This window comes from Homo sapiens, chromosome 17 (genome assembly GCF_000001405.40).
Source record: "Homo sapiens chromosome 17, GRCh38.p14 Primary Assembly".
Classification (NCBI taxonomy): Eukaryota; Metazoa; Chordata; class Mammalia; order Primates; family Hominidae; genus Homo; species Homo sapiens.
In genome coordinates, this window is record NC_000017.11 from 11,852,019 (window position 1) to 11,867,057 (window position 15,039).

General features: G+C 42.1%; 1 protein-coding gene across 5 annotated transcripts in view; it reads left to right on the forward strand.

Annotated features, from left to right (window-relative positions):
• DNAH9 (dynein axonemal heavy chain 9) overlaps positions 1 to 15,039 on the forward strand; it is a 371,279-nt gene that overhangs the window by 253,549 nt on the left and 102,691 nt on the right. For all 5 annotated transcript variants that reach the window (XM_011523703.3, NM_001372.4, XM_017024292.3 and 2 more), the window contains one exon: positions 1,985 to 2,410. In XM_011523703.3, the coding sequence (XP_011522005.1) occupies positions 1,985 to 2,410 (426 nt within the window). The remainder of the gene's footprint in view (positions 1 to 1,984; positions 2,411 to 15,039) is intronic.

Genomic DNA, 15,039 nt, shown 5'->3' on the forward strand with positions numbered 1-15,039 from the left:
GTGACAACAGGTGTGCTGGTATCCCTCTCACACCTGTGCTGCCTACCTCCCTGCCCTCACAGGTGTATTGGGACCAAATGTGAAATCCATTGCAAGAATGAAAGGAGCATCTGCCACAGTACTTCCATTCGGAGCTAGAAATAATTCTCTTTGTTTGTGGATCAAGAGCACCTCAAATTAATTTGGCATAAGAATCTAATTTTTGAAATCAAGTTGTCCCCCCACTGACAAAGTTAGCGCCATAAGCAAATGGTTTCACAGCATTTTAAGAGCCTCCAGCTACATTGGGGCTCCACTGCCCTAATAGGAAGTGGTAGGGAGCTGGGCGTGGGAGTCTGCAATGTACCTTTCACGGATATTTCTTTCACCTGGCAGACAGCCTAATGCTTAGCTGTCTGACCCATGACCAGGGGGTCCTTCACATGGGAAATTTGTTTATATTGGCGGATCCCCTTGTGGCTCTTGTCCAATCCATGTCCAGTTTATGCCTGCCTGACCATCACTCTGAGCTGGGAGCTCAGCCCAGTACCTGGAGAAAACCCAGCCTGGAGCAGCCCCTGGTTCTTCAGATGGAAGGTGCAAATTCAGTATACCACCACAACAGGAAACACATTCAAATATTTTTACTTACAGATCCTGAGCAGGGAGAATGCAATGAGTTGGGAGGGTAGTGCTCTGTCCCTGGGTCACGACAGGTAGGAATGAAGAGTGAGGCAGAGAGAAAGAGAAGTGCATAGAAGTGCATGGCAACCGGCAGTATATATAAGAGATATATATAAGAAAGTGTGTGTGTGTGTATATATATATATATATATATATATATATATATATATATATATATATGAAAGTGTGTATATATAAAAGAAAGTAGGATGTGTATATATATATATAAAAGAAAGTATATACAAGAAATATATTTCTCATATTTAATATAAGATATATCTTATGTTAATATATAAGTATATATAAGAAAGTAGGATGTGGGTCACTTTAGGTTTTCAGCAAATGCCTGAATGGTCCCTTTAAAGGAAGTGGCAGGCAAGCAGGGAGCTCCTGCCTAGGAGAGATCCAAATTCTCTGGCTACTGGCTTGAGTCATTTGGGTGTGGTATAGAACTGGAAACTGTATCCAGGGTAACTGAGCCCTGCTTCTGGTATGAATAAAGTTAAACCTATATTCAAAATGGATGCCCAAGCAACAGAAAATTAGAATTCCCTACACCTGATTGTAGGCTTCTCACCGAATGTCATAGCAGGCCTTAAATCAACTTCATACGCATTTATGACACCATTTTATGTACAGAGTAGCGAGTTCTCCTGCCCCCAATTTACAGATGAAGGTGGCAAGTTCTGGAAGGTTTAAGTGATTTGCCAAGATCAACTCTTTCAGCCGTGTCTTTCTGGAACAAGCAAAACTCTGAGCAAAGGACAAACCCAGGACCAGGCAGAGCAGCTGACTCACAGGCTGTGCCTTGTTTCTGTCTGAATTATTTCTTGGCAGAAAATGCTGTTTTGCTATCAGGACAGTCAAGTGTAGTTAGAACAAGCTCATGGAACAAAGCAGTTTAATTAAGGAAAAAAAAATTACTTGGGTTACAGTGCTATTCTCTTCAATCCAAGATGGAAATTAATTTATAATAACCTTATCTTTTATTCATAGCATGCTGCATATTTCAGAGTATGTCGGCATCCTTGTATTTCTCAGTTGAATGTGAAATAATTGTGTGTTTCTAATGGGCTGCGAGTCAGTTAAAGTGCTGAAAGAACATAGCTGAGTCTTGGCTAACCATTCAGAGAAGTCTGAAGCCACTGAGGAGTAGCTTTGGTTTCCTTTTGATGAGTCATGATATTTAAAATTCAGAGGGCTGCTGCAGGCTTCAAAGCAGCCCTTTCAAACCGATCGCTCCACAACCTAACTCCATCAGTGGCAGAGGACAAAGAAAGCCCATTCATGTTCCCCTAACCACCTCCTTCTCTTTTCCCAGACCAACCTGACAGAGCTGAAGTCATTTGGCTCTCCGCCTCTGGCCGTCAGCAATGTCAGCGCTGCGGTGATGGTACTGATGGCTCCCAGGGGTAGGGTGCCCAAGGACCGGAGCTGGAAGGCTGCTAAGGTCACCATGGCCAAAGTGGATGGCTTCCTGGACTCGCTAATAAACTTCAACAAAGAGAACATTCACGAGAACTGCCTCAAAGCCATCAGGCCGTATCTGCAAGACCCCGAGTTCAATCCTGAGTTTGTGGCCACCAAATCCTATGCGGCTGCAGGCCTCTGCTCCTGGGTCATCAATATTGTGAGATTTTATGAGGTGTTCTGTGATGTGGAACCCAAGCGCCAGGCACTGAACAAAGCCACCGCGGACCTCACAGCTGCCCAGGAGAAGCTGGCTGCCATCAAAGCCAAGATCGCTGTGAGTGACCCCAGAGCCCCTCACCCTGCTAGTCCGCCTCCAATACAAACAACGCTCTTCAGACACCATCTAACACCTAACGTTACGGTTTTTAAAGAGAAGCAGGAAAACCACATTTTCATGCAAAATCTCATTTTTCAGTAGAGGCAACTTTTTACATTTCTTTCTCAAACACTGTATAGGCCAAACAAGACAATTCCACTGGACCACTGGTTTACAAGCTGTGGTGCGAAAAGGTTTTCTCCTTTTCTGAACAAAAGGTTAAAATTTTGAGACTTTTTCTCTTTCTCCTTGGAAATGTGGATTTTAGCCACCTTACCCTTTTTACCTGTTCCCTTCAGTTCTAGCCAACTATCTGCCTGTCTCACTTTCAGTAGCATGGATGTGTGGAAATGTGTCAGCTATCTGCATTGTTTTGTGGAAGTTCGTTAAAGCAAGTTATACACTGTGACTTAGTGGGTGGCCCCTAGTCCATAAATATAAAACTGTGAGGGTCATTAGCTTTTATAAACTCATGTAGATATTGTTATTATGTCTGCTTCACCCAGGATTTGGAGATGGGGATGGTGATCTTGGATTCACACCTATTTGGGAGATTTTCCTTGTCAACCTGAAATAATTGAAAGGATCAGAATTCATTTTTTTTTTTAATCTGTAGAGGCAGGGTCTCCCTATGTTGCCCAGGTTGGTCTTGAACTCCCGGGCTCAAGTGATCCTCCCACCTCAGCCTCCCAAAGTGCTGGGATTACAGGTATGAGCCACTGAGCCCAGCCCAGAATCCAGCTTCAAGAGTTGATTTAAGTGAAAAACTGGCAATGAACTCCAAAGAGATAGAGTGAGTGCTCCAAAGTAAAACGTTAAGGTGTTACTTATATAGGCAGAAAACAAAGAAATTTTCTATAATAGGCTGGTTTATGAGTTACAACAATTTAATTAATTACAGTTTTCTGTACAGCTTGTTTCACTTCCTTTCCAAAGAGTGTATTTAACCTTCCATCTTAGATAATGTGGAGTCTTTGTGTGAGAAAGGTGAAAGAGAGGTTAATCTATAACAAAGATCAGCAATGAAGCTGGAAGGAGTCTTCCCTGGTGCCCTTTAGTCATTTGCAAAGTTTTACAAGACAATGTAGGTAAGGAAAAAGGCCAATCTATAATCAGAGAAATAAAGGTTACAACTGCCTAGGTTATAGCTGCCTGTCCTGTGACTCGAGACCTATAATCACATTACCTTAAGGCTCAAAATATTTTAAAGTTCCAACAGCTTAGATCTTGAATTACTTACTTTCATATGCTTGAACTTCACCTTGCCCATAAAAATGCATATTAACAAAGTAACAGGTAGAAATCAGAATCCTGGAAGATAGCATAGCAACTAAGACTCCATCCTTCCACATAGCTTAGTTCCAATCCAAGCTGTAATATTTACTGATCGTGTGACCTTTAGAAAGGTTTCCAAAATGCCCAAACCTTAGCTTCCTGAAGTAGAATAGACACAGTAATAGTACCTGCTTCATGGGACTATTATGAGAATTAAAGGATGTGATGTGTATAAAGCATGAGACTAGAGCCCAGCCCATGATGAAGGGAGCAGCAGGAGCTGCCCCCCTGCTGTGTGACTATAACTGCTCAACCACTACTGTGTGAGCGTGACTATAACTGCTCAACTGCTACTGCCCCATTTGACAGCATGTGCCATCTACCACATGCACATCCAACCTCTTGCATGGACTCAATCACGGCTGTGATCAAGTTCAATCCAAAAAATTTTCTGGATCTTTAATTTCTGTATGTGCATTCTAGGCAAATAAGATTCTTGCTACAAATTTGTCATGATGATAAGGAGGATTTTACAAGTTATGAAAGGTAGGATTGTAGACATGCTGTATGCCACGTGACATGGGTTTATTGATTGTTAGATTAAAATCTATGGAAAAAGGCTCTAGATCAAAGATCCTTGAGACCAATCTCTCTATTTAAAAAGATACTTTGGGCCGGGTGCAGTGGCTCATGCCTGTAATCCCAGCACTTTGGGAGGTCAAGGCAGGAGGATCATGAGGCCGGGAGATCGAGACCATCCAGGCCACCATGGTGAAACCCCGTCTTTACTAAAAATACAAAAAAAAAAAAATTAGCCGGGCGTGGTGGTGGCCACCTGTAGTCCCAGCTACTTAGGAGGCTGAGGCAGGAGAATGAAGTGAACCTGGGAGGCAGAGCTTGCAGTAAGCCAAGATCAGGCCACTGCACTCCAGCCTGGGCAACACAGCGAGACCCTGTCTCAGAAAAAAAAAAAGAACTTTGGCAAAGCAACTCACCTCCTCTCAATATGCTTGTTTTATAATGCACATGTTCATGGACTAGTTTACTTAAAATAGATGATAATCACCATAACAATTGCTCCCTTCAAAGAACATCACATGCAAGACACCGTCACATCCCCATTCCTGAATTTATTTTTATTTTTTATTTTTAGAGAAGGGGTCTTGCTATGTTGCCCAGGCTGGTCTTGAACTCTTGGCCTCAAGTGAACGTTTTGCTTTGGCCTCCCAAAGAGCTAGGATTACAAGCAGACTACAGGCATGAGCCACCATGTCCAGCCCATATTCCTGCTTTTTGGGAGGAAAAGATCTCCCGATAATTTTTATATTTTTCAGTCTCTTCCAGAAAATATAACAAGAACTGCATTTTCAAAGACTCTTGACTCAAGTTATTTTAACTAAAGGAACAGTTGGTGCAAAGAGAATGTTTTCAAAATGTTTATACCTTTTCAGTAGCCAACATTCACATGACGGGCCCACTCAACCTGCGAAAGCAATAAGAATATTTTAAAATTCCTTGGCTACCTTTGGAAGGCACTTCTTTTCTGCCAAAATATTTTCTGGAAAAAAAAATGTATTCTTGCTTTTAACAACCTCCTCTCCATCCTCCACTTATACACATCCCCGTCAACATCCCAGGAATGTGGGCACTCCCTGCTAATAACACAGGAGATGGGCTAACACCCATCCCTAACCTGGAGACCCACCCAGGGCAAGAGGATTCCTATATGCTGCAGGGCCATTTCCAGCCTAGTCCAATCTCACATACACACACCCAAGTCTTACTTTGAGGATTTTAGGATAATTCCAAGTAAATAATCTTATATTCAGAATACAGAAAGTGGGTGGAAAGCATATTTCAAGACAGATTTCAGTTTGATTACTGTATGCAGGACATTATATAGTTTGGATATTTGTTCCTGCCCAAATCGCATGTTGAATTGTAATCCCCAGTGCCTGAGATGAGGCCTGGTGAGAGGCATTTGTGTTGTCAGGAGAATCCTTTATAGTTTGGTGCTGTCTTTATGACAGTGAGTGAGTTCTTGTGATATCTGGTCATTTAAAAGTATGTGGCACCTGCCCCCCGCAACTCCCTCTTGCTCCTGCTCTGGCCATATGATGTGCTCCTGCTTTGCCTTCCACCATGAGTAGAAGCTCCCTGAGGCCTCCCCAGAGAAAGATGCCAGCAGTATGCTTCCTATACAGCCTGCAGAACCATGAGCCATGAAACCTCTTTTCTTATAAATTACCCAGTCTCAGGTATTTCTTTATAGCAATGCAAGAATGGCCTAATACAGAATGGAAACACACAAAAATGTTAACAGTGGTGGTGATCTCTGGGTGATGAATTTTGGATGGCTGTTTTGTCTAATCTACATTTTCTTTTGTTCTGTAGTGAAGATATATTAATGTTATGATTTATAAAAATAATAGTAAGAACAAAGGAGGCATTTTCCGTGAGCATATTATCACACACAGAGTGAAATATCAAATAGTAGAGAAAGGCTTCTGATGAGAAACAAGAATCCCTTTTAATTCGTATATCTGTTTCTGGTGCTTGAGATCACATCAGAGCCTGCTACCTAGCAGCTCAACTGTGTTCCAGTTGGCCCACGCAGTCTATTTGCAGATGATTTAATTAATTGCCAATATTTAAAATAGCAGGTACTTTTACGTAAAAATCTTATTTTAGGTCAGTCTAAAAATAATCAAAAGATTCTCATATGTCATTAATTGACCCTAGAGTCAAGTAATGGCTTCCCATTCACACAGTTTTGCTCATTTTGTCATAATCCCCACCAACTTCTATTTTTTTCAACACTAGACTCATCTGACAAGTTTCCATTATCTTCCCACTTTCTGATCACTTGAATTTCTGACTTCTGTCCATGTGTTATGCTGATATCTATTTTTTGATGTATCTTATTGAGGCAGTTGACCTTCTGCTAGCTAGCTAAGGCTATAAGTTGTCCATTTCCATGTCTTCCCAATATAGTTACAGTAACCAGTTTTATTAGGTTAGCACAGAAGTTATTGTGGTTTTTGCCATTACTTTAATGGCCGGCACAGTGCCTCATGCCTGTAATCTCAGCACTTTGGGAGGCTGAGGTGGTTGCATCACCTGAGGTTAGAAGTTCGAGACCAGCCTGACCAACAATGGTGAAACCCAATTTCTACTAAAAATACAAAATTAACCCGGCGTGGTGGTACATGCCTGTAATCTCAGCTACTTGGGAGGCTGAGGCAAGAGAATCACTTGAACCCAGGATGCAGAGGTTGCAGTGAGCCAAGATTGCGCCATTGCACTCCAGCATGGGCAGCAAGAGGGAAACCCCGTCTCAAAAAAAAAAAAAAAAAAAAAGAGTAATGACACAAACTGCAGTTACAGCCAGGCATGGTGGCTCACACCTGTAATCCCAACATTTTGGGAGGCTGAGACAGGTGTATCACCTGAGCTCAGGAGTTTGAGACCACCTCGGCCCACATGGTGAAACCCTATCTCTACTAAAAATACAAAATTAGCTGGGCATGCTGGTGGGCACCTGTAATCCCAGCTACTCCGGAGGCTGAGGCAGAAGAATTGCTTGAACCTGGAAGGCAGAGGTTGCAGTGAGCTGAGATCGTGCCATTGCACTCCAGCCTGGGCAACAGAGCGAGACTCCGTCTCAAAAAAAAAAAAAAAAAAAAATGCAGTTACTTTTGTGCCAATCTAACAGTTAATGTAACCTTTATTTCCTGTTCTATTACATAGAGGCAGCTCCCTTGGAGCTCTCAGCTTTCAAGATGTGTTAGTCTATTCTTGCATTACTGTAAAGAAATACCTGAGGCTGGGTAATTTGTAAAGAAAAGGAGTTTAATCGGCTCACAGTTCTGCAGGTTTTACAAGCAGCATGGTTCTGGCTTCTGGCGAGGCCTCAGGAAGCTTACAATCATGGCCAAAGGCAATGGGGAGCCAGAATGTCATTTGGCAAGAGCGGGAGCAAGAGAGAGAAGAGGGAGGTCCCACACTCTTTTAAACAACCAGATCTCCCCTGAACTAACTGATCAAGAACTCATTTACCAGCAAGGGAATGATGCGAAACCATTCATGAAAGACCCGCCCCCATGATCCAATCACCTCCCACCAGGCCCCACTTCCAACACTGGGAATCGCATTTCAACCTGAGATTTGGAGGAGACAGACATCCAAACCATAGCACAAGATGACACTCTTACCCCTGCCTTCAGCTCCCTTCCTTCTACTTCCCAACTTTTGTTATTACTGCTTATCATTACTTTTGCTTTGTAATCACCAAAACTGAGAATACATTCTCTTCTGTAACCAAAACTAAGTGACCCATGCTCTGTCCATAGACTGATCTGCAAAGTTAAAAAAGCAATAATTCCATTTCTATTCTGTGAACGTGTCTATATTGTTCATAACAGATCTAGAATTACATTCTCTTGTTTTACACAGTCTCTTCACCCCCACTCCCCAGAGTTTCTACTTTCCTTTATTGTCTCTTTCTCTTGCATTAGTTCCTTTTGCATGGCATCCATTATTTCTAAACTTTCCATTTACAATTAAGTATTCTTTGTTTGTCCTTCTTTGCTGCCACAACCTTTCTCTCTCTTATTCTGCTTTGGCTCATTCTCAGAGAACGTTCTCAGAAATGTTAAGGAAGAGGTAAATTTTCTGCATTGTTATTGTCTAGAAATGTCTTCGTTTTATTCGTAAACTGAACTAACAGTTTTGCAAAGTATTGAATTCTGAGTTGCTAATTTTTTGTGCACAGAACACTGAATTTGTTGTTGTTGCTTTGTGTTTTGTTTTTTGTTGTTTGTTGTTTTTTTTTTGAGACAGTTTCACTCTTCTTGCCCAGGCTGGAGTGCAATGGCACAATCTCTGCTCACTGCAACCTCTGCCTCCCGGGTTCAAGCGATTCTCCTGCCTCAGTCTTCCGAGTAGCTGGGATTACAGGCATGTGCCACCATGCCCGGCTAATTTTGTATTTTCAGTAGAGATGAGGTTTTTCCATGTTAGTCAGGCTGGTCTCGAACTCCCGACCTCAGGTGATCTGCCCGCCTCGGCCTCTCAAAGTGCTGGGATTACAGGGGTGAGCCACTGCGCCCTGCCAGAACACTGAATGTTTTATGCTTTTGTCTGGTGAGAAGTCTCGTGGACAGTCAATGTCTTGTTCCTTTGTGTATGCACAGTTTCCCCTCTTTCCTTGAAGTCTTCTAATCTTTTCCTTTTGGTTCTTGATGTCTGAAACTTTACATTGATGTGCTTAGCTGTCATTCTTTTTTTTTTTTTTATACTTTAAGTTTTAGGGTACATGTGCACAATGTGCAGGTTAGTTACATATGTATACATGTGCCATGCTGGTGCGCTGCACCCACTAACTCGTCATCTAGCATTAGGTATATCTTCCAATGCTATCCCTCCTCCCTCCCCCAACCCCACAACAGTCCCCAGAGTGTGATGTTCCCCTTCCTGTGTCCATGTGTTCTCATTGTTCAATTCCCACCTATGAGTGAGAATATGCGGTGTTTGGTTTTTTTCTTGCGATAGTTTACTGAGAATGATGATTTCCAATTTCATCCATGTCCCTACAAAGGACATGAACTCATCATTTTTTATGGCTGCATAGTATTCCATGGTGTATATGTGCCACATTTTCTTAATCCAGTCTATCATTGTTGGACATTTGGGTTGGTTCCAAGTCTTTGCTATTGTGAATAGTGCCGCAATAAAAATACGTGTGCATATGTCTTTATAGCAGCATGATTTATAGTCCTTTGGGTATATACCCAGTAATGGGATGGCTGGGTCAAATGGTATTTCTAGTTCTAGATCCCTGAGGAATCGCCACACTGACTTCCACAATGGTTGAACTAGTTTACAGTCCCACCAACAGTGTAAAAGTGTTCCTATTTCTCCACATCTTCTCCAGCACCTGTTGTTTCCTGACTTTTTAATGATTGCCATTCTAACTGGTGTGAGATGATATCTCATTGTGGTTTTGATTTTCATTTCTCTGATGGCCAGTGATGGTGAGCATTTTTTCATGTGTTTTTTGGCTGCATAAATGTCTTCTTTTGAGAAGTGTCTGTTCATGTCCTTTGCCCACTTTTTGATGGGGTTGTTTTTTTCTTGTAAATTTGTTTGAGTTCATTGTAGATTCTGGATATTAGCCCTTTGTCAGATGAGTAGGTTGCAAAAATTTTCTCCCATTTTGTGGTTTGCCTGTTCACTCTGATGGTAGTTTCTTTTGCTGTGCAGAAGCTCTTTAGTTTAATTACATCCCATTTGTCAATTTTGGCTTTTGTTGCCATTGCTTTTGGTGTTTTAGACGTGAAGTCCTTGCCCATGCCTGTCCTGAATGGTAATGCCTAGGTTTTCTTCTAGGGTTTATATGGTTTTAGGTCTAACGTTTAAGTCTTTAATCCATCTTGAATTGATTTTTGTATAAGGTGTAAGGAAGGGATCCAGTTTCAGCTTTCTACATATGGCTAGCCAGTTTTCCCAGCACCATTTATTAAATAGGGAATCCTTTCCCCATTGCTTGTTTTTCTCAGGTTTGTCAAAGATCAGATAGTTGTAGATATGCGGCGTTATTTCTGAGGGCTCTGTTCTGTTCCATTGATCTATATCTCTGTTTTGGTACCAGTACCATGCTGTTTTGGTTACTGTAGCCTTGTAGTATAGTTTGAAGTCAGGTAGCATGATGCCTCCGGCTTTGTTCTTTTGGCTTAGGATTGACTTGGCGATGCGGGCTCTTTTTTGGTTCCATATGAACTTTAAAGTAGTTTTTTCCAATTCTGTGAAGAAAGTCATTGGTAGCTTGATGGGGATGGCATTGAATCTATAAATTACCTTGGGCAGTGTGGCCATTTTCACGATATTAATTCTTCCTACCCATGAGCATGGAATATTCTTCCATTTGTTTGTATCCTCTTTAATTTCATTGAGCAGTGGTTTGTAGTTCTCCCTGAAGAGGTCCTTCACATCCCTTGTAAGTTGGATTCCTAGGTATTTTATTCTCTTTGAAGCAATTGTGAATGGGGGTTCACTCATGATTTGGCTCTCTGTTTGTCTGTTATTGGTGTATAAGAATGCTTGTGATTTTTGTACATTGATTTTGTATCCTGAGACTTTGCTGAAGTTGCTTATCAGCTTAAGGAGATTTTGGGCTGAGACAATGGGGTTTTCTAGATATACAATCATGTCGTCTGCAAACAGGGACAATTTGACTTCCTCTTTTCCTAATTGAATACCCTTTATTTCCTTCTCCTGCCTAACTGCCCTGGACAGAACTTCCAACACTATGTTGAATAGGAGTGGTGAGAGAGGGCGTTCCTGTCTTGTGCCAGTTTTCAAAGGGAATGCTTCCAGTTTTTGCCCATTCAGTATGATATTGGCTGTGGATTTGTCATAGATAGCTGTTATTATTTTGAGATACGTCCCATCAATACCTAATTTATTGAGAGTTTTTAGCATGAAGCGTTGTTGAATTTTGTCAAAGGCCTTTTCTGCATCTATTAAGATAATCATGTGGTTTTTGTCTTTGGTTCTGTTTATATGCTGGATTACATTTATTGATTTGTGTATATTGAACCAGCCTTGCATCCCAGGGATGAAGCCCACTTGATCACAGTGGATAAGCTTTTTGATGTGCTGCTGGATTCGGTTTGCCAGTATTTTATTGAGGATTTTTGCATCCATGTTCATCAAGGATATTGGTCTAAAATTCTCTTTTTTGGTTGTGTCTCTGCCCGACTTTGGTATCAGGATGATGCTGGCCTCATAAAATGAGTTAGGGAGGATTCCCTCTTTTTCTATTGATTGGAATAGTTTCTGAAGGAATGGTGCCAGCTCCTCCTTGTACCTCTGGTAGAATTCGGCTGTGAATCCATCTGGTCCTGGACTCTTTTTGGTTGGTAAGCTATTGATTATTGCCACAATTTCAGCTCCTGTTATTGGTCTATTCAGAGATTCAACTTCTTCCTGGTTTAGTCTTGGGAGAGTGTATGTGTCGAGGAATTTATCCATTTCTTCTAGATTTTCTAGTTTATTTGCATAGAGGTGTTTGTAGTATTCTCTGATGGTAGTTTGTATTTCTGTGGGATCGGTGGTGATATCCCCTTTATCATTTTTTATTGCGTCTATTTGATTCTTCTCTCCTTTTTTCTTTATTAGTCTTGCTAGCGGTCTATCAATTTTGTGGATCCTTTCAAAAAACCAGCTCCTGGATTCATTAATTTTTTGAAGGGTTTTTTGTGTCTCTATTTCCTTCAGTTCTGCTCTGATTTTAGTTATTTCTTGCCTTCTGCTAGCTTTTAAATGTGTTTGCTCTTGCTTTTCTAGTTCTTTTAATTGTGATGTTAGGGTGTCAATTTTGGATCTTTCCTGCTTTCTCTTGTGGGCATTTAGTGCTATAAATTTCCCTCTACACACTGCTTTGAATGTGTCCCAGAGATTCTGGTATGTTGTGTCTTTATTCTCATTGGTTTCAAAGAACATCTTTATTTCTGCCTTCATTTCGTTATGTACCCAGTAGTCATTCAGGAGCAGGTTGTTCAGTTTCCATATAGTTGAGCGGTTTTGAGTGAGTTTCTTAATCCTGAGTTCTAGTTTGACTGCACTATGGTCTGAGAGATAGTTTGTTATAATTTCTGTTCTTTTACATTTGCTGAGGAGAGCTTTACTTCCAACTATGTGGTCAATTTTGGAATAGGTGTGGTGTGGTGCTGAAAAAAATGTATATTCTGTTGATTTGGGGTGGAGAGTTCTGTAGATGTCTATTAGGTCCACTTGGTGCAGAGCTGAGTTCAATTCCTGGGTATCCTTGTTGACTTTCTGTCTCGCTGATCTGTCTAATGTTGACAGTGGGGTGTTAAAGTCTCTCATTATTAATGTGTGGGAGTCTAAGTCTCTTTGTAGGTCACTCAGGACTTGCTTTATGAATCTGGGTGCTCCTGTTTTGGGTGCATATATATTTAGGATAGTTAGCTCTTCTTGTTGAATTTATCCCTTTACCATTATGTAATGGCCTTCTTTGTCTCTTTTGATCTTTGTTGGTTTAAAGTCTGTTTTATCAGAGACTAGGATTACAACCCCTGCCTTTTTTTGTTTTCCATTTGCTTGGTGGATCTTCCTCCATCCTTTTATTTTGAGCCTATGTGTGTCTCTGCATGTGAGATGGGTTTCCTGAATACAACACACTGATAGGTCTTGACTCTTTATCCAATTTGCCAGTCTGTGTCTTTTAATTGGAGCATTTAGTCCATTTACATTTAAAGTTAATATTGTTATGTGTGAATTTGAACCTGTCATTATGATGTTAGCTGGTTATTTTGCTCGTTAGTTGATGCAGTTTCTTCCTAGTCTCAATGGTCTTTATATTTTGGCATGATTTTGCAGCAGCTGGTACCGGTTGTTCCTTTCCATGTTTAGTGCTTCCTTCAGGAGCTCTTTTAGGGCAGGCCTGGTGGTGACAAAATCTCAGCTTTGCTTATCTGTAAAGTATTTTATTTCTCCTTCACTTATGAAGCTTAGTTTGGCTGGATATGAAATTCTGGGTTGAAAATTCTTTTCTTTAAGAATGTTGAATATTGGCCCCCACTCTCTTCTGGCTTGTAGAGTTTCTGCCGAGAGATCCGCTGTTAGTCTGATGGGCTTCCCTTTGTGGGTAACCCGACCTTTCTCTCTGGCTGCCCTTAACATTTTTTCCTTCATTTCAACTTTCGTGAATCTGACAATTATGTGTCTTGGAGCTGCTCTTCTCGAGGCGTATCTTTGTGGCGTTCTCTGTATTTCCTGAATCTGAATGTTGGCCTGCCTTGCTAGATTGGGGAAGTTCTCCTGGATAATATCCTGCAGAGTGTTTTCCAACTTGGTTCCATTCTCCCCGTCACTTTCAGGTACACCAATCAGACGTAGATTTGGTCTTTTCACATAGTCCCATATTTCTTGGAGGCTGTGTTCGTTTCTTTTTATTCTTTTTTCTCTAAACTTCCGTTCTCACTTCATTTCATTCATTTCATCTTCCATCACTGATACCCTTTCTTCCAGTTGATCACATTGGCTCCTGAGGCTTCTGCATTCTTCATGTAGTTCTCGTGCCTTGGCTTTCAGCTCCATCAGCTCCTTTAAGCACTTCTCTGTATTGGTTATTCTAGTTATACATTCGTCTAAATTTGTTTCAAAGTTTTTAACTTCTTTGCCTTTGGTTTGAATTTCCTCCTGTAGCTCGTAGTTTGATCGTCTGAAGCCTTCTTCTCTCAACTCGTCAAAGTCATTCTCCGTCCAGCTTTGTTCTATTGCTGGTGAGGAACTGTGATCCTTTGGAGGAGGAGAGGTGCTCTGCTTTTTAGAGTTTCCAGTTTTTCTGCTCTGTTTTTTCCCCATCTTTGTGGTTTTGTCTACTTTTGGTCTTTGATGATGGTGATGTACAGATGGGTTTTTGGTGTGGATGTCCTTTCTGTTTGTTAGTTTTCCTTCTAACAGACAGGACCCTCAGCTGCAGGTCTGTTGGAGTTTGCTGGAGGTCCACTCCAGACCCTGTTTGCCTGGGTATCAGCAGCGGTGTCTGCAGAACAGTGGTTTTTCTTGAACCGCGAATGCTGCTGTCTGATTGTTCCTCTGGAAGTTTTTTCTCAGAGGAGTACCCGGCCGTGTGAGGTGTCAGTCTGCCCCTACTGGGGGGTGCCTCCCAGTTAGGCTGCTCAGGGGTCAGGGGTCAGGGACCCACTTGAGGAGGCAGTCTGCCCGTTCTCAGATCTCCAGCTGCATGCTGGGAGAACCACTGCTCTCTTCAAAGCTGTCAGACAGAGACATTTAAGTCTGCAGAGGTTACTGCTGTCTTTTTGTTTGTCTGTGCCCTGCCCCCAGAGGTGGAGCCTACAGAGGCAGGCAGGCCTCCTTGAGCTGTGGTGGGCTCCACCCAGTTGGAGCTTTCCAGCTGCTTTGTTTACCTAAGCAAGCCTGGGCAATGGCGGGCGCCCCTCCCCCAGCCTCGCTGCCGCCTTGCAGTTTGATCTCAGACTGCTGTGCTAGCAATCAGCGAGATTCTGTGGGCATAGGACCCTCCGAGCCAGGTGCAGGATATAATCTCCTGGTGCACTGTTTTTTAAGGCCATCGGAAAAGGGCAGTATTCGGGTGGGAGTGACCCGATTTTCCAGGTGCCATCTGTCACCCGTTTCTTTGACTAGGAAAGGGAACTCCCTGACCCCTTGTGCTTCCCGAGCGAGGCAATGCCTCGCCCTGCTTCAGCTCGCGCATGGTGCGCTGCACCCACTGACCTGTGCCCACTCTCTGGCACTTCCTA